Genomic DNA, 22,088 nt, shown 5'->3' on the forward strand with positions numbered 1-22,088 from the left:
CATCTATTGCTCACCCAGTGCTCTCAGGGACATCCGTTGAGTCCCTGTTTGGTCCTTCTCACGGTCCTTCTATTTCCAGAGAAGCCTCCTGGAGGGAAAAACATCCTTCAAGACTCTCAGGTGGCCTGGGCAGTGGCTCACACCTGTAGTGCCAACAGTTTGGGAGGCTGAGGCGGGAGGATTGCTACAGCCCAGGAACTTAAGACCAGCCTGGCAACATAGTGAGACCCTGTTTCTACCAAAAATAAAAAAAATTAGCTAGGCGTAATAGCAAGTGCTTGTAGTCCCAGCTACACTGGAGGTTGAGGTGGGAGGATCGCTTGAGCCCAGGATATTGAGGCTACAGTGAGCTAGGATTCTACCACTGCACCCTAATCTGGGTGACAGAGCGAGACCCTGTCTCAAAAAAAAAAAGATGCTTAGGAATAAAACTCCAAAGGTGGGGTTTCAGGCACCACCGGCGAGCAGGTGTCTTTGGAGAGATGTGCGACTCCCTTGCTCTCTGGCACGGGCTTTGGCTTAAGCACCCGCAGGGCCTCCCTTCTCTTAGGTCTCAGGGGTGAGATGCTCTGCAGGAGCCCCACAGCAGTGCCGGGAGATGGAACTTTGCAGCTGGAGCAGGCTCTCTTCCCTCCTGCCTCAGCCTGGGCATCTGTAGAGCCAGGTTGGCTTTGGGGGCTGGGCTCTTAAATTAGAGGCCATGAGGGTTTCAAACATGGCAAGGTCTGGTATCTGAACACTTGGTTGTTGGTAACACCCATCCCTCCTGGACGGTCTGTCATCTTCCCCTCCTGCTGAGGACAGGTCCCATGGAGGCAGGGGTTGCTTAGATCTGCATCTGGGGAGGAAATCAGGCAGTGCAGGAGCCCGTGCCTGGCCCATGCTGTCAGACCCTCATGGCCCACAGGCTCTGTCCAGCTTCAGATTTACTACATAGCTCAGAGCCCTGGGTTGGTCCTGGCTGGGTCTGAGTCTGCAAACCTGTGGTTTTCAGAGATGAGTTGTTTACCATTTTCTTTTCATCACAAAGAGGAATCCCTCCCCTTATATGCAATGAATGTTTTAAAAATCAATACATTCATCTAGTGTCAGTCTCTTATTTTCTCACTGCTTATTTTACTTACTACTGAGAGTAAAACCCTACCTGCCCCATGAATCTCAGCAGGCTCAGTTAGCCTTGCATGACTTAAGTTTCCCATTTTCCCAACCATCCTCTGTCTATTGTCCATCTCCTCTGATGTCCACCACAGCCCCGTGAAGTTAGGCAGGTGTGATTTCCTCTGTGTGCAGGGAAAGAAAGACAGGCTCATGGAGTGTCCCTCTGGGTGAAGAGGCAGCAGACTGAGGGCCAAGCCTAGGTTCTTAAATTAGAGACTATGCAGGTTTCAAACATGGCAAGGTCTGGCATCTGAGCAGCTTGGTCACTGGCAGCACCCATCCCTCCTGGACCGTCAGAGCCTCGGGACTGCCAAACACCACCATGAGCTCATGTAGTCCCATCCCCTTATTTTATGAAGACAACGTCATACTCTTCTTGGCATGTATTAATACTCACTCCCCCCACCCCCTGGGTCTGGAACCTCATGCACCCCCTAGCCTGCTGGGCCAGCTTGGCCAGATCATGGCATCCATCTCATGCCTGCCTTCTTCTCAGCATGCTGGGCCAGGAGCAGGCCAAGGGCCTAGCCTAGGCCGGGGTAGGTGCTGGTTGGGTCAGGCAGACATGGCCAGATGATGGCTTCCAAAAAGGGAGATGCCGTCAGGCCCCTCCCACCCAGGGGAGGCAGTGGGTGTTGGGGGCTGAAGACAGAGAGGGTCAGTCCAAGATGGCATCAAGTCAAAATTTCAAAATGTGAAAAATACAATTTTTCTACAAATATCTAGTGATTTATTTAAGTTGCTAATGAGGGAACCAGCAGGATGATGCACCTGGTTCGAAAGGGGATGTAAGGAAAAATACGTATATATAAAATATGTATACACACACACATGTTAATGAGAAAACTAATGCTGCTAAATTAGACACAAGACTAGTTAATATCTAGCAGGACAGTAAAACCATAACCTTTGGTATTATATTCTCCATTGGACAAAAATCCTTGGCACCATGTTGGTTTTCTCTGTTTTTTTTTTTTTTTTTTTTTTGAGACGGAGTCTCACTCTGTCACCCAGATTGGAGTACAGTGGTGCGATCTCAGCTCACTGCAAGCTCTGCCTCCAGGGTTCATGCCATTCTCCTGCCTCAGCCTCCCGAGTAGCTGGGACTACAGGCAGCCACCACCGCGCCCGGCTAATTTTTTGTATTTTTAATACAGACGGGGTTTCACCGTGTTGGCCAGGATGGTCTTGATCTGACCTCGTGATCCGCCCACCTTGGCCTCCCAAAGTGCTGGGATCACAGGCGTGAGCCACCGCGCCCGGCCACCATGTTGGTTTTCTAATGATAACGACTAACTTTACAGAGTCCAGGGTCTGCTCAGTAGTCAGTCCGATGAAGTTATATCTTGCCATGGAAGGCCAGTGACTCTTAGGGAAGTCTGTCAGACAATGCTGTAACATGACTTTAAAAGGACACACAGTCCTCTTTCTGTATTATTTCAAAGTTTTGGATATTTTTTCTTAACAGCAGACAGAGGCAGTCGGGGTGAAACTGTGGGATTCTAGCCAGAGAGCTCAACACAGAGATGGTGAAGACAGAGTTGGTACAGCAGGGCTTTTACTGTCCAAGACCACTGCCCCGGCCGTGCTTCCAGCCCAACCTCATCTACTGGGCCAACCCCTCCCTCCATCTAGAATTCCACTCTGGTTATTAAGACCACCTGGGCACTGGAGTCCCAGGGGGCTGGGATGCCCAAGGCCTCACCTGGTGCTCCCCGTAGTGTCCAGTCTTCCCGAGGACATGCAGGCTGGTGTGTACATGTATGTGTGTGGGGGGGATTCTTGATACTTCTTCCTTCTTATTGCAGAGATGCTCTTCTTCAGAGATCTGCCCCTAGCTGGGGCTTGGGAGGCCCCTCTTTCTTAAAATATATCTGGTGGCGACTTTCTTTCCTCCCCTGAATCCCTTGCCCTTTCCTTGAATATTTCTCATGGATACACACCCCATGATACACACACCACTTCCACCCCTGCCATATGGACACACACATAATGCCTCCCATATACCCAAACCTACTCAGATTCCCTGGAGAAGCAGCAAAGCCTCCCAACAGAGAGGGGACTCATTCCCTATCTCCCACCTCTTTCCACTTGGGACCATGGCCAACCCATTCTGCACTCTTGCATGAATTAGAAAATGGCCCATCATGGCCAAGCACAGTGGCTCATGCCTGTAATCCCAGTGCTTTGGGAGACCGAAGTGGGAGGATTGCTTGAGGCCAGGAGTTCGAGACCAGCCTGGGCAAAATAGCAAGACCCTGTCTCTACAAAAATAAAATAAAACAAAATTAAATATAAAATAGAATAAGAAAATGTCCTGCCTTTTCCCTGGTAGATACAGCCCAGAGCCAGGGCACACACACAGCTGGTTCAGCTCCACTCACTTCTTGATGGTCACCTTTGTGCCCGTAGACAGTATCTCTGTTCCCTCCCCCTCAAAGATTTCCAGAGTGGTGTGCAGGGCTCCCTTTCAGTTGGCAAACCTTTTGACATCTCCATGGGAGATGGTCCAGCCAACTCTGGCGTATATTCTCAGAGATCCTGCTTACCACACTGGTGCCAGCTCTTGTCTGTTGGGTTAGAGAATATGTTTGGTTGGGTGGTGTGATGTCATGGGCCAGGGGAATCTTGTCCTGCCTCACCAATTACAGGGTTGCTTCCTGGGCCTCAAATCTAATTGCACAGAGATGAGAGCTCTCCTGGGAGATGAAAGTGGTGGCTTGTGAGGACAAGTGGGTGTAAATGACTGATAACAGATTGTTTTGTCTGGAAGGAAGGACTTGCATGTGCCTGTGCATGTGTGTGTGAGTGTGCGTGTGCATATGTGTGCAGGGAGGGATTCTGAAGAGGAAGGTGTTGCACAAGGATGTCCAGGTTGAAACCCAGGAGCTTTTCTAGCGTGGCTCTACTGACTCTAGTGGACAGAGAACAGGCTCTGGAGCTCCAAATCCCCCAGATTCTGCTCCTGTCTGCTGATAGGTAGAAGCAGGAACAAAACTTACTTTGAAATGCACAGACAGAAAATCTTAATACAAGCCCCACAGCCCCTGATCTAGAAGTGTCAGCTGTCCCCCTTTGGAGCATGAACTGAGCCCTCACCAGCTCTTCCCAGAGCTTCTGTGCCCCTCCCCAGCCTCTTGCTCCAAGCCTGCACTTTTGGCAGGACCCCCTCGAGGCAGTTAATTAAAAAATCAGTGTTTGCCTTTATATTGGAAAAGAGATTTTTGCCCCCTCTGTAAGTGATAAGTGTTTCAGCTGAGCCTGGTGAGGTATCTGGGGCTGGAAGAGTTGCTTTTACTAATACATGCCAAGAAGACTGTAATGCTGTCTTCATAAAATAAGGGGATGGGGCTAGATGACCTCATGGCGGTGTGTGGTGGTTCTGATGCTCTGGCCCCAAGAACCCCTTGTCTCCGGAAGGGAGTTGCTTCCAACCATCTGGGCCTCTTTCTCAGCTGTTTTGCCAAAAATAAAGTATTGGGGTTCACCCTCAGTTTTGTGAGGCCTTAGAAGCAAATGCCAAGGCCCATCTGTCCAGGGGCCATGTTCTCAGGGAAATGCTGTTAGCTACCTACATGCCAGGGTTTCTCTTCCTCTGGCTGCCTCATTTCTTACACTGGCGAGGGAGCTGAATGAAAGCCTTCTCTGCACATACAAAGATCTGTAGACTGTCCGACACCCTTCTACTCTTTAATCATCAGCATTGTCATCGTTGCCTTCATCTCTGACATTTGTACAAATCTGATGGCTTACCAGGTACCATCAAATATATAGTCATTTCATTTGAGACACAAGCTCCCCTTATGGTGGAGCTGGGGCAGGTGTAAACTTCATTGTTTTATAGGAAGCAGAGGCAGAGGGGTTAATATCAATTTTTTTTTCCCTAAGGCCTGGTAAGGACTGGGGCCAGAACTAGAATCCAGGTCTTTTGCTAAGCTATCTTATGTCTTGACCCCCCATCAATCCATCCATCCATCCATCCATTCACCCACCCATCCACCCATCCATCCATCATTCCATCCGGCAGATAATTATTAAGTGCTCATTTCATTCCAACCATGTAGATAGCTATAGAGTAGTGAACAAAACAGGATCTTTTCCCTGTCCCTGGCAGCTGTCCTTTCAGTGGAGATTCTCTTTCTGGGACATGGTGCTGTCTTTATAGGTAGGAAGAACTGGGGAGCTGGACATGCGGCTCTCAGAGGAACATTTTGTTTTCACTTCTCATCACTTCCTCCTTCCTTCTTCCCACAGCAGACAGGATTTAGGCCATTTTGGGAGTCCCCCACTTTCTGATTTCTAGTACCTTTGGCATCATGGGCAGTGTTTGGGTGGCGGAGGAGCAGCTACTCCTTTTGGCGGGGGACACTGACATTCCTGGGCACTGCTGCGTGCCGCTGCTGAACCAGGCACTTGGCCAACATTCTCTTCTAATTCATTCCTCACACAGTTCTGAGGGGCAGTAGACAGGCTGGGTAAAGAGGCTGAGGAGAGTGCGCCAGGCCAGGGAAGCAGTGATTTTTGGTGGTCTCACAGCAGTGACACTCTGACATAGCTTGTCAACAGAGGGCTACAGTCTGTCCAGCTTAGCAGACAAGTTTCTTCATGGCTTGTTCTCAAACTTCAACGTCCAGCTGAGGCATGCATAAAAAAAGGCAGATAACCAGGCCCCACCTCCAGAGAGTCCCATTCAGCAAGTGGGTGAGGGGGTTGGGGATCTGCATTGAAACAAGCCCCCATCCTCCATGATTCCAGTGCAGAGCTTGGGGAACCACTCTGAAGTAAGGAAAGCAGCTTTTCCTTTGGACAGTGCAGGCCTTTGGGAGTGAATCCAGTACAAAAACAGCATTAGCTCTGAGGACAAGAAATGTGTACAGAACTTGCAATATTCCAGGACTAGGGGAGAAACTTGTCCCAACTTTAGTGCCAAATTCCCCTCCAGGCTGTGCAAAATGTGGAAGTCCCTGTGCTTCCCGGCACCACCTGGGTGTAGCTCTGGAGGGCATGAAGCAAGAAAAACATTCCCCACTTGGAAGAAGTCCAGAGCTGGGCATACAGACCCGTGGAGGGTGCAAGGGCCCCTGAATGGGAACAGACCAGAAACCACAGATAGCTTCAGTTTGGAAGTCAAACGCTGGGACGGGAGAAGCTTCTAGTCTTCATCATCGAGGACTGCTGAAATCCCAGGGTCAGCTCAGGGATCTGTGTGCACCCAAAGCAGCCTCTTGAAGCAGAAGCTGACCTTAGGGGTTATTTAGTTACAGGGACAGCCAGTGCAGGGCAACGCAGGCTGCCAGTCCAGCTCTTAGGACTGGGGCAGTCACGCCTAATCAACCGTGGCAGCTGTTCCTTCAAGCCTACAGGCAGCATCAGAATTCCTCTGAACAATCCCCACAGGCTGGGGATTTCCAAGATTCAAGCTGGCACTTGCGTTCCAAGCAGGCCTCTTTGCCATTCCCCATCTAGATGAACACCCTTATTTGACACACAAAGAGTATAAAGCTGAGAGAGAGAAAGTGGCTTACTGAAGGTTACATGTTTATTTGGGATTACAGCTGGGAGGTGAAGGGAGATAGCTACATAGTAAGATGGCATTTTCAAGGGGTGTTTGGGTTCCCTGGCTAAGTAAGTTGGAGAAATCCTGTATGTAATACCACCTCTAACTCGAAGATTCACCACTCATACAGTATGCAAAAGACTTGGAAAGGTTGCAAACCTGGAGAAGTTGGCAGGAAACAAAACAAAACAAAACAAAAACCTTGTTTAACTTTTTCAACTTTATAATGTTTCCATGCACTTCTTAGATACATTTGATCCTGGGACCCTTCAGTGACCTAGCAGCTGCTCAATCCTGTGGAACAATTTGTTCCTGAAACACATGTTGGGACCTGCACGTTTAGCAGGAGATCGGGCAGCAAGACACACACAACTCTGTTTTTGTGGTGCACCTTGGCCATGATCAAGGGCGCAGGAAGCACACGGGGTTGGCACTGAACCAAGCTGCCCTCAATTGGGATCTGGGGAGCGATGGACCTCTGTGACTTCTTTTCACTCGGGAGGTTTAGGTTCCTCAAGACATGAAGAAGGGGCTTGGGGCTGGGCATGGGTTTACTCACCAATCCTAGACAACAGGAAAAAGCAGCTTTTTCAGAAGGTGGGCTCAGGATAAATCAAAGCAATTTCCATTTCCCGAGTGAGGGGTAAACGTAGAGAACTCAGAGGTGTGTTTTTGTGGAGAGGTGGGTGTGGGTGAAAATTTCACACCCCACTTAGGGGCAGTTAAAAACAGACCTAAGAACACAGAGATAAAGAAAAAAAAAGACACGAAACATTGAAGCAATTGCCATGAAGCTCATGTACTTAACTCTGTGGCTGTTTATTGGATTTCTTTAATAGCTTATTGACTCTCGGTTCACGAGGAATTCTACCAGAATCAGGGTCCTATCTTGGCTCAAGGTCCACAACAGATTGGGAACAACTATTGGAGGGGGAAGACAGGCTTAGGGACCACAGAGCAGATAGCTGAGAGGAGTGGGCACATACCCATCTTGTCTCATAAGTCACCATCAGGTAGTGAGGACCACAAGGAAACAGGGAAACATCCACTGTATTTATTCACCTCTGAAGGAACCAAGAAAGTTAAGTGCACGAGCATTTAGGAAAGGTTTCCAAACTGAAAGATAGAGATTCAATGGGTAAATTTCTGTTATAGAGAAAATTTACTTATGTGCATCTTTCCCAACAATGCTGATAAATAAAACATCACTGTAAGTTCTAAACACACTGGATAAAGTCCCACTGGACAGACTCACACTGTTTTAGGAAACAAAGAGTGTCAGGTCATCTGGTTCAATCCCTTCATTTTGTAGGCACGGAAGTATATGTAGGAGTGAGAGGGACCCCTGGCTCAAGGCCCACAGCTGATGAGAGCAGAGACAGTCTCCCACCCCGGTCTAGAGTTTGCTGTTGTCAGGGGCAACCGTGGGGGTGGATTATTACGCTTTCCCCAGCCCATCCCTCATCGCTTCTCCAAACCCAGACTTCCAGACTTCAGGGACTTGGGCCCACCCGGGAGCTGTCTTAGGCCCCTACTAGATTTTATTCAAGCCATAGCAGCTCTCTCCAGGAAGTGAAATGGTCATTTCTTTCCTTTTTTTTTTTCAGACAAGGTCTCACACTGTCACCCAGGCTGCAGTGCAGTGGTGCAATCTTGGCTCACTGCAGCCTCGACTGCCCAGTCTCAGCTGATCCTCCCACCTCAGCCTCCCTGGTAGTTGGGACTATAGGCACGTGCCACCATACCCAGCTAAGTTTTGTATTTTTTGTAGAGACAGGGTTTTGCCATGTTGCCCAGGCTGGTCTTAAACTCCTGAGCTCAACTGACCTGCTACCTTGGCCTCCCAAAGTGCTTGGACTATAGGCGTGAGCCACCATGAAATGGTCATTTCTAACCAGTGACCAGAGGCTCTGTTCCCCAATTCTTCCCCTGGGTCTTCAAAGCCACTCTGGCTTCCCTGCCTTCTGCAAATATGCTCCTCTCCCTCTTCCTGACCTCCCCACCCCAACCCCTGTGGGATGAGCCAGGCTGGCAAGTCAGGTGGGAACTGGGCCGATTCCTGCTGGGACTCTCACCTAGGATGTCCTGCTCCTCCTTCCCATCACTGTCTAAATCACCCCATCTTTCCAGGTGGTGAAGAAGCCTCACAGCCATCCCCAACATCTCCAGACCCTGTGACTCTTCCTGCCCGCTGGGTGTTGGTGCAGGAATGGGGCATTGTGGAGATTAAGCCAGAGTTGGGGACTTGAAGGAAATTTTGCTGACTTCATCAGCCATCCTTGGCCTGACAGCCAATGACAGTGTTTGAAGACGGGTCACTGCTTCTATGTCTTCGGGTAGTGTGACTCATTTCTCAGAAGACGGGCATATATATTCTATCTATTTTCAGTGGAACTCATATTTAAAGCTTGTGGAGTTCCAGCTTTGTGTGAAAAAAAATACTAACCCTTCTCAAAGTGATAGAAATAAGCCGTTTTCTCTTTTCTTTTCTCTGTAGGACAGTTAGTCCATCAGCCCCCATTCAGCAGCATTTATGGGGTGTGGAATATCAGGCTAAGGAGATACAAAGGAAATGTGGGAAGGCGGTGGCTCGGAATCCTATACTGGGCTGGGCTCAGGTTCCAGTTGCACCACTTCTGAGCCGGGCACCCTTATTCTTGGTGCTTCATTCTCTTGTCTGTAAAATGGGGATATTAATGCCTCATGGGGTGTGAGGATCAGATGAAACAATGGATAAATCACTTGAGGAAGCACTCAGAAAATGGGAGCAACTATTCTACCAAATGGGTTATTTATTGACCTGCACCTCTACCATCTATAAAAGGGTGTCATTGGGATTCTTGAAAACAGCAAATGAAATGGAAATTCTGCACATTTAATAATGATGTAAAAGTCTGCCCTTGGGTCTGAATTGAACTCTGCTTTTGTTGGCTGGGTGGCTGTGGAGAGAGTTCCTACCCCATGGGTCTGAGGACAAAATGGCACCAATCGCCTCCATAAACAGGGTTCGCCACTTCGCAATTCATCACTTACAGTTTACAGGTCACAGAGCACTTGCTCATGGGTTCATTTCACATGAGTGATCTCGCTTAGTCTTGAGGTGGGAGGCTGGGGTTCTAGACTCAGCACCTTCACCTGTAGCGGGTGACCTGGGGTAAGCACCTGAACCACTGTGTCCCATGGGCTCTCTGTTGGCCAAATGGGACGACATTACAGCTCTTTCAGGTTGTCCTGGGAATCAGAGGCGAGGCCTAGTACGGGGCTGGGCTCACTGTATGCTCTCAGATCAAGGGAAAGGACACTACGGTTGTGGTTGCCGCTATTCCACCCTCAGTGTCCTCATCCGTCATGTGTGTTGAACACACTCTGTGTAGCCCCATGTTCTGTGGGAAGCCTGGAGCTCCTGAGGCCTCTATGGGGCAGGCCCTGCTCGAGCAGGGTAGTTTGCACAGCCAGGCTTTCCCACCTTCCCTCACCCTGAGCTGTTCTGCTTGGTTTGGTGACATATTAAAATGTTTGCACACCACTTACCTGGTGTAAAGGGCTTGGGACATGTCAATCTCCAGTCAGCATCCTCTGTTCACTCACCCTTCCCAAGATCTGTGCCACAAACACACACACGCACACACACACTATACAATACATCCACACACATAATACACAACCACAACACACATATAACACATGTACAGACCACATACCCTGCACAATACACCCCCCATATGCAACCCATATACACAGCATGCACACATACTACACACACCAACACACACTTATACACGTACACCATGCACACAACACACACGCACATGACACAATACACACCATACACAACACACCACGTACACACATACCACACATATGCACACAACACACACACCTTACACACCACACATAATACATACAACACACACACCACACACAATATATACAACACACAACATACACACACACCACGCATACACACACTGTGCCCAGCACACACAATATACACAACAAACACACATGCACACCACACACGTGTACCACACACATGCACACATACTGTGGTCATCCTTGCCTCCAACTCATCCCCATCCTGTTCCCCTCTCACCTGGTCACCTTACCTGGCCTTCACCTTAGATCCGCCTCTTGCCCAAAGACACCTGGATGCCCCCCGCTCCCTGAATGCTTGAAGGAACATTTAATTAGATTCAGCTCAGGGTTCCCTGCTATGCAGATTGTCCTGGTGTCCACTCTGTAAGCTCCCCCAGGCTAAGGCCCTCAGGGCCCTCAGGGCCCTCTTTTGGTGGCTTGCTGACCACATTTGGCGGGAATGGACAAGAACTCCGTATTTTATTGTTTGCCAGCTCTCAGAGCCACTCCAGGAGTCTCTGAAGGCTCCCTGTGGCCAGAGCCCCTGTCCTGCCAGGTCAGTGGACACGGCTCAGAGGAGAGGCTCTGGGGAGCCCTTGTCCGGGGTGATGGGTCAGTTCATGGGGAAGACCCATGGAGTGAGGCCAAGGCTGGGGGACACTGGGCCAGCCTCGGGCTGAGGGTGACACGGTCCTGTGCCTTGTCAGTCTCTCCCCTCTGGGTGCCAGAGCCCTTGATTCAGTTCTTCAGTGTGCCCCGCCAGGTACCCAGCCCGGACGGGGCCTGTGTGAGGAACACGCATGCAGTGGCACCGCTCCTGCACCCAGGAGGACAACACGCCTGGGTGGAGTTGGACCCTTCAGTGAGATGACCTCCTGGTCTTTGGGGAGTGACTCCTAATCCTGCTACCCTCTGGATTCCAGCTCCAGAAACCCAAGAAACACCATGGAAACCCAAGACACACCACCCTGGAAGGGAAATCGGCAACCATAAGGCAGCCTCCTCACCTCATTTTGCAGAGACCCAGAAGGGCCTGGGGACTTGCTCACAGGCACACAGCTACTTAGTGGCAGGATGAGTCCTTCGCAATGTGAGGAGTCACTTCCTGCTGTCTGAGCTTCACAAATCCAGACTTTTTCTGATCAGATTTACTGACATCGTGGGTCTGTTTTTAAAAGCAACACCAAGAAAGGGCATTGTGATATGAATTCTAACTTTGCCAAGAGGTTATGACCACTGGTTTCATCCTGACAACATCCACTTAAGTTTGCGGAAAACTTTGTGGGGTGACTGTTCCCAGCTCTTGTTCTGGGCCGGTGGAGAGCAGTCTCGAGGTGTGGGGTGCATCTGGCCAGGCCCTGCCTGACAGGCAGACACCTTCCCGCTGACCACCAGCTCTCTGTGGGAGGCAGGCCTGAGGGCAGACGCCAGAAGGGTGCGCTGTTTCCTCTTCTGGCCCAGGGCTTTAGAAATGGGGCTGGGAGGCTTCCTTCTCTTTCTGCCAGAGCTTCATACCCTGTCTGGACGCCCCCCGCCACCACCCCACCCCATCTACATAGGACTGGAGCTGGCCCTTATGCTGTTTAATCAGCAAAGTGTAAGGTCTTAGACCACTAAGGTCTAAGGTCACCCCACCCCCAGTTCTTCTCAAACCTTGATGTATCTTCCACATGCCTGAAACCTTCCACCCAGGGAAGTCATTTCCCAGTATTCAGGGACATTGGCTACTCTGCAGGCCAGTGGGGAGAGAGGCCAGTAAGTAGAAAGATGGTGGACTCACCTTTTGGAGAGCCTGGCAGGTCATGAGCGCTGGTCTTGCTCTGCTGGGCTCTGGAGTCTGACAGACCTGGGTTCAAATCTTGCCTCTGCCACTTCGTGGCTCTGTGGTTACTTAATCCTTCTGAATATTAGTTGATGTGAGGCTTACAATAGTGCCCACTGCCTGGTGGGGATCCTGTGGGATTCTGGAGGGAGGATGCAGTGGGGCTGGCCCCTGGCATCATGGGAAGCAGGTGCAGCTCGCCTTAGGTAACCCCAACCTTCCCTGTTAGCTTCCTGTTGCCCTCGGGTACCGGAAATCCTGCCACACACCAGACTCTAATTTCCTCCCTCAAGAGCCTTTTCACTTGGATGCAAGTGACTAGGGATGATGAGACAGATGGGGTCCCCTGCCGAGGGACAGAATTTACACAGGGCAAAAACAAGGGCCTGAAGGGACAAGGTGCCTGCCTTGATTTCACCATGGCAGAGGAATCCTTCTGGGGCAAAAGCGAGAGCCCTGGCCTGGGAATCTCTAGTTGCGTCCCAGCTCACTGGTCATATCCTTTGCCCAAGACAGAGAGAGCTCCCTCCTTCTAGCTTGCCAGGTGTCCCTGAAATGTAATTGTGACGGGGTTCACTCTCGGAGATGACACAGCTCTCCCTCTCCTCCTGAACTGTCTGCTGCCTGATGCCTAAGGCATCTCTGGGGATGTGCAGTTCTGTGGGTCACGAGTCTCCATCCTCCACCTTCCCCCCAGCCAGGCTGAGTGCCCACTCTCATTCAGCATTCAGTTCATCTCTGCTCACATAGCCACAGAGGGGAAGTCTCTGCTGAGGCCCAGATTGGGCAAATGGAATACAGTTTCCCCTGGTTTGAAATACATTCATAACAAACTAATGACCCTGGCGAGGTTACTTCTAAATTGGCTCTGATAGACTCCTCCAAACAAGCAGGAAACCCACAGCTTTCCTTCATGTCCACACCACTGTTCAAGGACGACTGTGGATCCTGATAATGGTCCTGAGTGTGTTTCTGCAGGATCCAAAGGCTTCCTGAATAAACAAAGGAAGGTTGCAGGTATTTTATTACAGGCTAGTTCTTTGAAAATAGATGCCCTGGTAGAGGATGCAGAATAACTCTGCAAACCTGGAACATTTGACTAACATGAACTTTCACGTATGTGGGGCTTTGCTCCGAATGTGCTATAATGTCCATGCAAAGCCTCATGTAGCCTGTGGAGACAGCTTCTTTCGGACCAAGAATCTGCCAGAAACTCAGAAGTGTCATACAGGTACCCCCTCTCCTCGCTGGAACTCAAGCTTATGCCTGAAGTCAACGCTGACTAGCTGGACTCCCATTTTATGGAGCTATGGGGTGGAGGGATTAAAAGATGGAAGTTGAACCAGTTATTTCCAGTACCACGTTTGCTATTAGTACTTTCCCCTGGATTTTCCAGGAAGAGTGCAGGGGTCCTTGAGCCCACGTCTCCAGGGGACTGTGTGACCATCTCCATGGCTGCTTACCATAGTGCCAGGGACTGGCCCAGAGACTGGATTTCTTTACTTTGTCACTACTGACATTTTGGGCAGGATGATTCTTTGTTGCAGGGGCTGTTCCGTGCTTTGTTGGGTGTTTGGCAGCATTCCTGGCACCTCCCCACTAGATGCTAGTAGCATCCCTGGCTTGGTTGTTGAGAACTACTTCTGTGCATATATCATCACACGTAATCCTCATGGCAGCCCTTAGAAGAATCAGCTTTATTGTCATCTTTGCTTTAAGGATGAGTTTGCTGGGGCTGAGTGATACTAAGTAACTCATCTACAGCAGCTGGGACTCAAACCTGAGTCTGTATGGCCCCAAAGTCCGGGATTTTACCATAATTCCTGCTGCAGGGGATAAGATCTCATTCACTGTCTGGAGCTCCAAGGAGCCCAGGATCTCAGCTGGTGTTTACCTGGGAAAATGCCTAAGCTTGGGTTTGGGAGAAGTGAACAAATAGTCATGCCCAATGCAAGGGTCTCAACCTAAGAATTCTCTTACTTCCAGAGCTTTCTGGGGCCAGGTGGTGATGGGAGGAAGGAGTTGAGTAGAGAACCACAATCACTTATTATTGCTCGCCATTCTATGGGAAAGCCCAGTAGTTCTTCCGATCTCATTTAGGCTCATTGGGGCTCACTCAGACACGTGTGGCTTGCTGCTCTTGGCTGGGCTCTGTCACATGGCCTTGGCTGGAATGACCAGGCAGACTTGGCGTTGTTCTGTGTGGTCTCTCATGGTCCAGCAGGTTAGCTCAGCTTGCTCACATAGCAAAGGCAGGAATCTTAGAGACACAGAGACCAAGAGAAATATGCAAGACCCTTTGGGGCTTAGGCTTGGAGCTAGAACAGTCACTTCCACCTTCTTCTATTGGCCAAAGCAAGTCACAAAGCCAGCCCACATTCAAAGATGGGGAAATAGACTCTACCTCTTGACTGAGAGAGCTGCAGAGTCACATCACAAGGGAGCAGAAGTGAAGAGGAGGGAATGGAGGCCATTTTTGTAGTTGTTGTCTCATAGTGCTCATCTGGTCTTCTGGCTCAGTTCCTGGAAGCTCGTGGCCCATCAGTGAGAGAGAGAAGTGAAGCGTTAGTGGGTTCAGGCTCTTGCAGAGACATTCTACCTGCCCAGACACAGAGCAGGTCTCCTGTCACCTCTCAGGATGGTGAACTCCATGACAGTATGGGCCTTATTCATCCCTGAGTCCCAAGACCTAGCAGGTGCCTGGCACACAGTAGCTTTTCAGATAATAGTTGGTAAATGTGAAATTATTTCAATTTGTTTTCTTGAACTCAATTCAGTGGTCTTTGGTAAGTATCTACTGTCCACTGAGCTCAGCCCTATTGAATCCAAGGGAGTCAGAGATTTTGTTCACTTCTCGGCCTGGCTGTCGGGACCATGAACCAAAGCTTAGGCACAATTGATAGGGGACTGCAGAGAAGGGACACCAGCAGCCTTCATGGTGCTGGCCATGTGCACCACGCCTATGTCGGGACAGCTCAGGGCATCCAAGGACGGGCGTGGTGGGGCCCTGTCTCTGGAAACTCTTCCCAGGTTCTTGGCATGACGTGGGTTGGGTGGATTTTCCGCTAATTGTCCAACTGGCTCAGTTCAGTCACATCCAGCTGTGCCTGGGCAGCCTGGGGGGTTCCCCTTTCCTTTGCAAGCCCAATCGCTCTGGAAGGGTGGCCTATGGCTCCCTTCTACCTCAGTGCTGGCTGTGCGAGCGTGGCCCAGATTCTTAGAAGCAGGAAGCTTTCTTCTGTCAGGAGTCCGTGAGGTTGGCTTCCCCTGGGCCCGGCCTGGAACCCAGGCTTGGTGTTGTCTGGGAGGGCCCTGCCGGAGGCGTCCCCTCTTTCTGCACTCCAACTTGGAGGAGGAGGGTTGGCCTTAGGTAGATGTCATGCCTCTCTCTCTTCCCTCCTTCAGCCTTTCCTAGGGTCAGGAGTGAGGACTGGGGGTGGGAGGGGAAGTGAGATTCCTTCCAGATCAGGAAATACAAGACCAGTGTATGTGGTTTCTCAGTAGGTGACAGAGCAGAGATTATATCAGTCACTAGGAACAGGGAAGGGTGCCTGTGTGTGTGTGTGGTCATGCTGAGGTGTGAGGGTGTGTGTGCATGTGGTGTGTGTGTGTGGTCATGCTGAGGTGTGAGGGGGTGTGTGTGTGTGTGTGGTCATGCTGAGGTGTGAGGGTGTGTGTGTGTGTGTGGTCATGCTGAGGTGTGAGGTGGTGTGTGTGTGGGGTCATGCTGGGGTGTGAGGGTGTGTGTGTGTGTGTGGTCATGCTGGGGTGTGAGGGTGTGTGTGTGTGTGTGGTCATGCTGAGGTGTGAGGGTGTGTGTGTGTGTGGGGTCATGCTGGGGCAGAATTGTGTGTGTGTGTGTGTGTGGTTATGCTGGGGTGTGAGGGTGTGTGTGCATGTGGTGTGTGTGTGTGATCATGCTGAGGTGTGAGGGTGTGTGTGCATGTGGTGTGTGTGTGTGATCATGCTGAGGTGTGAGGGTGTGTGTGCATGTGGTGTGTGTGTGTGGTCATGCTGGGGTAGGAGGGTGTGTGTGCATGTGGTGCGTATGTGTGTGTGTGATCATGCTGAGGTGTGAGGGGGTGTGTGCATGTGGTGTGTGTGTGATGATGCTGGGGTGCGAGGGTGTGTGTGCATGTGGGGTGTGTGTGTGTGGTCATGCGGAGGTGTGAGGGTGTGTGTGCATGTGGTATGTGTGTGTGGTCATGTGGAGGTGTGAGGGTGTGTGTACCTGTGGTGTGTGTGTGTGGTCATGCTGACGTGTGAGGGTGTGTGCGCATGTGGTGTGTGTGTGAGATCATGCTGGGGTGGGAAGGTGTGTGTGTGGCCATGCAGAGGTGTGAGGGTGTGTGTGCATGTGGTGTATGTGTGTGGTCATGCAGAAGTGTGAGGGTGTGTGTGCCTGTGGTGTGTGTGTGGGGTCATGCGGAGGTGTGAGGGTGTGTGTGCATGTGGTGTGTGTGTGAGTGTGTGTGTTCACAGTGAGGCCGCAGGGCAGGAAGAAGGAAGCAGGTAGGGAGGGGGAGCGACACCAGGCGAGCAGGTGTTGGATGGCAAGTGAAGTGTGTGTCAAGTGCCCCGAGCCTTCATCAGGGCTGTGGAGGGTCTGGCAGAAGAAACCTAGCCCCTTACCCCCAAGGTGCCTGCTGGTGGGCACAGGAAGCTGACACAGGTGAGACAATTGGCCAGCAAATCTGGACAGTGTCCGGTGAGATATCAGAGAGTGTGGCCGGGACTTTAGTGCTAGAGGAACCCATGGGTGGGAGATCAGGGAGAGTGGGAAGAGAAGGGCTGGAGTTGGGCTGACACCATGGGTTGGTGGGTCTGAATTGCAGGGGTCCACGCTGCTGAACTGAGAGCACACGGTCTAGCCCCACAGGCTCTGTAAGACCAGTGCCCTTAAAGCTCCTGGCACCTGTGACAGGAGGGGCCAGATATCCCAAATACTCGGGCTCCTCCCTCATGGCTCAGTGCTCCTGGTGGGGTGTGGTTACTGTCCTTTGACCTGCTGGCTTCTGCCCTCTCTCGTCTGGTCATTATCTCAAATGAGACACGTCGACAACATCTAGTCATCGTCTAGGATGCACATGTAGGGCAGTGGTTCTGAAACCTCACTGTGCCAAAGAATCCCCAGGGAGCTCTTGTTAAAGGGCAGGCTCCTGGGTGTGGCCGCCAGAGATCCTGATTCTGTGAGTTACCACGACACCCGGGAGTCTGCAGTTCAACATGGTCCCAGGAGATCAGGAGAAACTGTCGTTTTTCTATGACTGACAAGATACCTTCAACTATAGGGTCTCCTCAGAACTTGCTGCTGCCCACGAGGTTGGCCAAGCAGAGGTAGCTGTGCTTATCTTTTGGGTGAGGACAGTGAATCCTTCGAGGAGAAGGTCTCCTTAGGGTCACACAGGCGGTGGGGGTGGGACTGGTACTCTGGACGTCCAGGGCAGTGCTCCGGCAGCTTGGGCAAAAGGACAAAGCTTGGACGTGGGCTGCGCTTGCATGGGGATCACGCGGGCATCAAAGGATGCTGGGGTGCTGGCCCCTTCCCTCCATCATGTGTCCCCCGCCCCCCATTTTAGGCTGGGCCAGGCCATGGGGCCTCCAGGGAATGTGTGCATTTGTACTGGGCCTCGGCACGTGACCTCCTGTGAGGAGCCGGTTTTATGGGATTTGCTCGTGTTGCTGTGGTTACTGATGTAGTGGAGAACAGAGTCAGGGGGCCAGGGCAGGATGAGTGGACTTTGATGGGAAAACGGTGAGGCAATGATGGGAGGGTGGGCTGGCAATGAGTGTCCAGTGCTGCCTGGCCAGGCCTGCCCTCTTACTGCTGGGGCCACCAGCGCTCTAGGAGCAGTAGACTATAGCAATGGGAGGCATCTCATTTCACAGGTGAGGAACTGAGAGGCAGAGGAGGACAGTGTCCGGCCCGAGGCCCTGCCCTTTCTTCAGAGCAGACTCAGAGTCTGTGCCATCCTCCTCCCCTCACCAGGCCCTGCTCTTATTCTTCTCCTTCAGGTCTGGCTGTTTCTCTGATTTTCTCTCTAATTCCCTGAGGGTGGCCCCTCACAACCCACATGGCAGGTGGCTTTTCCAAAGCACTTCAGTGTGCATCTTCACATGAAACCCTGCAAGGTGATCAGGGCAAGTGGCTCAGGTTTAGTGAGGTGCAAGCTGGGGCCACACCCCAGGTGTTCTGATCTTCAGCCTCTGGGCCCCTGGGGTGCTGGGCACTCTGGTCCCTGGAGCACTGGGACCCCCACGGTACCTCTTACCCATCGCTTGGCTTCATTTCTCCTGGCGGGTGTCCTGCTCCTCCAGCTCCAGCTCTAGGCCTTGTTTCTAAGGCTGGGCTGGATATTCCCGACCCTCATGCTGGTCACCCCTCTCATGGGCTCTGCTCCTATACCCTCCTCTGAGCCTTTCACCCTGGCCATGTGGGTAGGCCTGGGGGACTCTCTTTACTTGGGCTTGGCCAGTGTCCTGCAGTGATGACAGGAACCTGATTGTTCATTTCTGTGTTCCCCGGAACAGGGATTGGACACCTGGCAGGTTCCCAGTGCATAGATATGGCTTTAAGAGCTCTGATGTCTCCCTTCTGGCTGTTGGGAGAGTGCCATTATGGCCCCTGTCACCTCTTCAACTCAGATCCAGTGGGGACCCTCAGTCTGTAACGGGCAGTTCGTAAGACTGTGTGACCTGCCACCATCCTGTGTTAAGTGTTTGGGGAACAGAGAAGGAGAAGAGAAACAGGGAACACCCGCACCTGTTTAGGGTGGTTTCTAGGCAGTCAGAACTCCCCCATTCTCACAGGTCTCCATCTGTTCAGGAAGTTCCCGGGTGTGTCAGCGTGCCTCTCAGTGCAGTGGGCTCAGACTCAGACAGCCTGTCGGGAAGCCTCTGTTGTCTCCCTAGGTCTGAATAGCCTAAATTGTGTCGGCTTTCAGTAGCCCCGTCACTGTGCTCCTAATGGCAAAATCCTGCCATTCCACCATTTGAATCTTCCCCCTTGGTCTTCTATTAGAATGAAAATCCTGGTAAAGCCTCAGGATCAGGTCTCGTGCAGACATTTACCACTTACCCCCTTCAGGTGTACTGGGCTTTGACTGGGCAGGTGGAAGTGGTGGGAGATGGGATACGGGGAACATGAAGATGCTGGAGGCAGAGATGACCTCCCGCAAAGCTAAGCCTTGAACTGGAAACGCTGGGGAGGCCAGACCCCCTCCCCATAAGTGAGCAAGGGGCACACTGTGCCTGGCTGAGAGACACAGGGACGTGGGACACAAGCTTGGAGCCTAGGAGGAGGTGAGGGCACAGGAAGACTGTGCCCTGGGTCCCCAGGGGCCTACTTGGTCCTCACTCACAGCTGCTCCTCCCAGGCCTGTCCGTGAGTGAGGATTTGGGGACTGCAGACCCATTTCCCAGGAGCTGTTACACTGGCCACACCATCCCAGGCATGGCCACACCAAATTCCAGCTGATGGCAGAGGGGATGTGGTGCGCTTCACCCCACCCCCTATTTCTCCCATCACCAACATCAAATGTCAGTCAGGGACATTTTTTCTTATGCAATTTTTCAAATCTCTCAGTGTCATTCAATTAAAAATGGAGGTTCCTTGTATTTAAGCTCTTCAACAGATGCAAGAGCATGAGAGCACAAAAAGACCTTAGCAATTCTTCATCCTCTTCTGGAGACGTGAAGTGATTTGCCCATGATCACCCTGCTACTCAGGGCCTGGTGGTGCCAAGACTGCACCTGGGTCACAGAGCAGAGCCAAGGAACACACAAATGAAACTGGGTCTCACTCCCTCCTGTGATCTTCCCACTGAGCCCTCTTGAACAAATTTCAGCATGCTTCAGGCTGCTCGTTAAGTGAACACAAATCCTCAAGTCAGCCCCGTGAGGTTCAGGCTTCTCCACGGAGCTTCCTGGAGTCATGGGACTTTAAAGTTGAGGAGGCCTTGGAGAGGATCTCCTTCTATGGTTTCCAAATAGGGTAGGAAGGCACCTCTGGTGACCACATGTAGCTCTGGTTGAAGGGCCGGAGGCTTCACACTGGGAGGGACCATCAGCTTGCATCTGCTTTACACAGTGGCGCTTTCAGGAAGGTTTATTTACACAGAAAAAAAATTAAACACTACAAATCTGATGTGAATTCAGAAAACCTCTCCTCACTGCTCTCACAAGTGGTTGGACTGAACTTTCCCTTGGAGCCATCTCTCACGGTTTATGAGGCAGTCACTCCACTGTTTTGTGAGGCAATCCACCCTCCTTTAAAAAAATTTATTGAGGTATAGCTGATGCTAAATAAACTGCATGAATTTAAAGTGTATATTTGGTGAGTTCTGACATGTATATACCTATGAAAGCATCTATACCCTGTTGGTTAACTCTTCTTGCACATCTATTAATTCATTGATTAGGTCAGCTACTTACTGAGCAGGTATTATATACTATGTGCTAGAATCTGTTAAAAACTTGTATTTAGTTAAAACCTCCTTCCCTCTAAATCTGATTTTCTCAATCCAGCTCCAATGGAATTGCTAGATAAAATACAGGATGCCCAGTTACATTTTAATTTCAGATAAAATGAACATATTTTTGATGTAAATATATCTCAATATTGCATGGAACATGCTTATACTAAAAAATTGTTTCTTGTGTAAAATTCCACTTTAACTGGGCTTTCTACATGTGTGTGTTTTTTTTTCTTTTCGAGAGAATCTCTCTCTGTCACCCACGCTGGAGTGCGTGACTCACTGCAGGCTTGACCTCCCAGGCTTAAGTGATCCTCCCATCAGCAACCTCCCAAGTTGCTGGGACCACAGGCATGCACCACCATGCCTGGATAATTTTTTATTTTTTGTAGACACAAGGTTTTGCCATGTTGCCCAAACTGATCTCAAACTCCTGGGCTCAAATGATCCTCTGGCTTTGGCCTCCCAAAGTACTGGGATTGCAGGCATGAGCCACCACGCCTGGCCCCATTCTCCTTTTATTTGTGAACTCTGGAATCCTGAAGTCACCCCTCTTGAGCTGTATAGAATCAGGTCTCAGTACCTCTAGTATTCTGAACCTTCCTGGTGTCTCAGGACACTAGACAGTGCTTCCTCTAGTCTCAACACCATGGGTTTAATTAATGATGCTATGATTACTTTAGCCTTTCTGAGCCACGTCTGTGGCTCCTGTTGAGCTTGTTGCTCTCAGAACACGAGACTCACTTCCTTTCAGCTGCTCTCAGGCAGGCTGCCCCTCCAGCCCTTAGGCAGCCCCAGGCAGAGGTTTTGCATGAAACCTTGGCCTCTCCATCTAGGCCTGTGATATTTCACCTTGTTGGTTCGTCTGTGCTTCCAGGCCATTGGAATCTTGTGAATTCCAGAGTGTGCCAGAGTCTGGCACCTGGCAAAATGTCCATCTCTCCCAGACTCGAATCTATTCTGACCTGATAAGCATGACTTTTAGATCATCAGTTAAGTAACTGATGGAAATGCAGAACAGCCCAAGGCTAAGCACAGAAGCCTGTGCTGTGCTCCTAGAGAAAGCTCTCCCTGCCCCCGGAGAGAGCCCTCCCTGCCCCCCGTCTCCCTCTAGGTTGACATCAACCCATACTCACTGGGCCAACTCACCTAAGTGTAGTATCCATTACCTAGACTACATTTATTATTTCTATCCACAGACATTTCATAACAGTCTTCAATT

The 22,088-nt window shown here is 50.8% G+C and overlaps 1 protein-coding gene and 1 long non-coding RNA gene across 5 annotated transcripts in view, besides 2 other annotated features; one reads left to right on the plus strand and one right to left on the minus strand.

The window, feature by feature from the left end:
• Positions 1-22,088, plus strand: part of ARK2C (arkadia (RNF111) C-terminal like ring finger ubiquitin ligase 2C) — a 129,123-nt gene that overhangs the window by 47,410 nt on the left and 59,625 nt on the right. The gene's annotated exons all lie outside the window — the stretch shown is intronic.
• Positions 5,738-6,238: an enhancer, noted in NCBI's record as "H3K27ac hESC enhancer chr18:43967128-43967628 (GRCh37/hg19 assembly coordinates)". NCBI's record gives its function as "activates a minimal SCP1, AML or CMV promoter by ChIP-STARR-seq in primed H9 embryonic stem cells {active_cell/tissue: H9 hESC(primed)}" and the evidence as "EXISTENCE:reporter gene assay evidence [ECO:0000049][PMID:30033119]".
• LOC105372095 (uncharacterized) lies at positions 6,676-8,111 on the minus strand. Its single transcript, XR_007066354.1, has 4 exons — positions 7,971-8,111; positions 7,702-7,831; positions 7,275-7,449; positions 6,676-6,874 (listed from the first exon to the last, which is right to left on the minus strand). It is a non-coding gene; the product is annotated as an uncharacterized LOC105372095 (long non-coding RNA).
• Positions 11,237-11,770: an enhancer, noted in NCBI's record as "H3K27ac-H3K4me1 hESC enhancer chr18:43972627-43973160 (GRCh37/hg19 assembly coordinates)". NCBI's record gives its function as "activates a minimal SCP1, AML or CMV promoter by ChIP-STARR-seq in naive H9 embryonic stem cells {active_cell/tissue: H9 hESC(naive)}" and the evidence as "EXISTENCE:reporter gene assay evidence [ECO:0000049][PMID:30033119]".

The sequence above is a fragment of the Homo sapiens genome, chromosome 18 (assembly GCF_000001405.40).
Source record: "Homo sapiens chromosome 18, GRCh38.p14 Primary Assembly".
Taxonomy (NCBI): domain Eukaryota; kingdom Metazoa; phylum Chordata; class Mammalia; order Primates; family Hominidae; genus Homo; species Homo sapiens.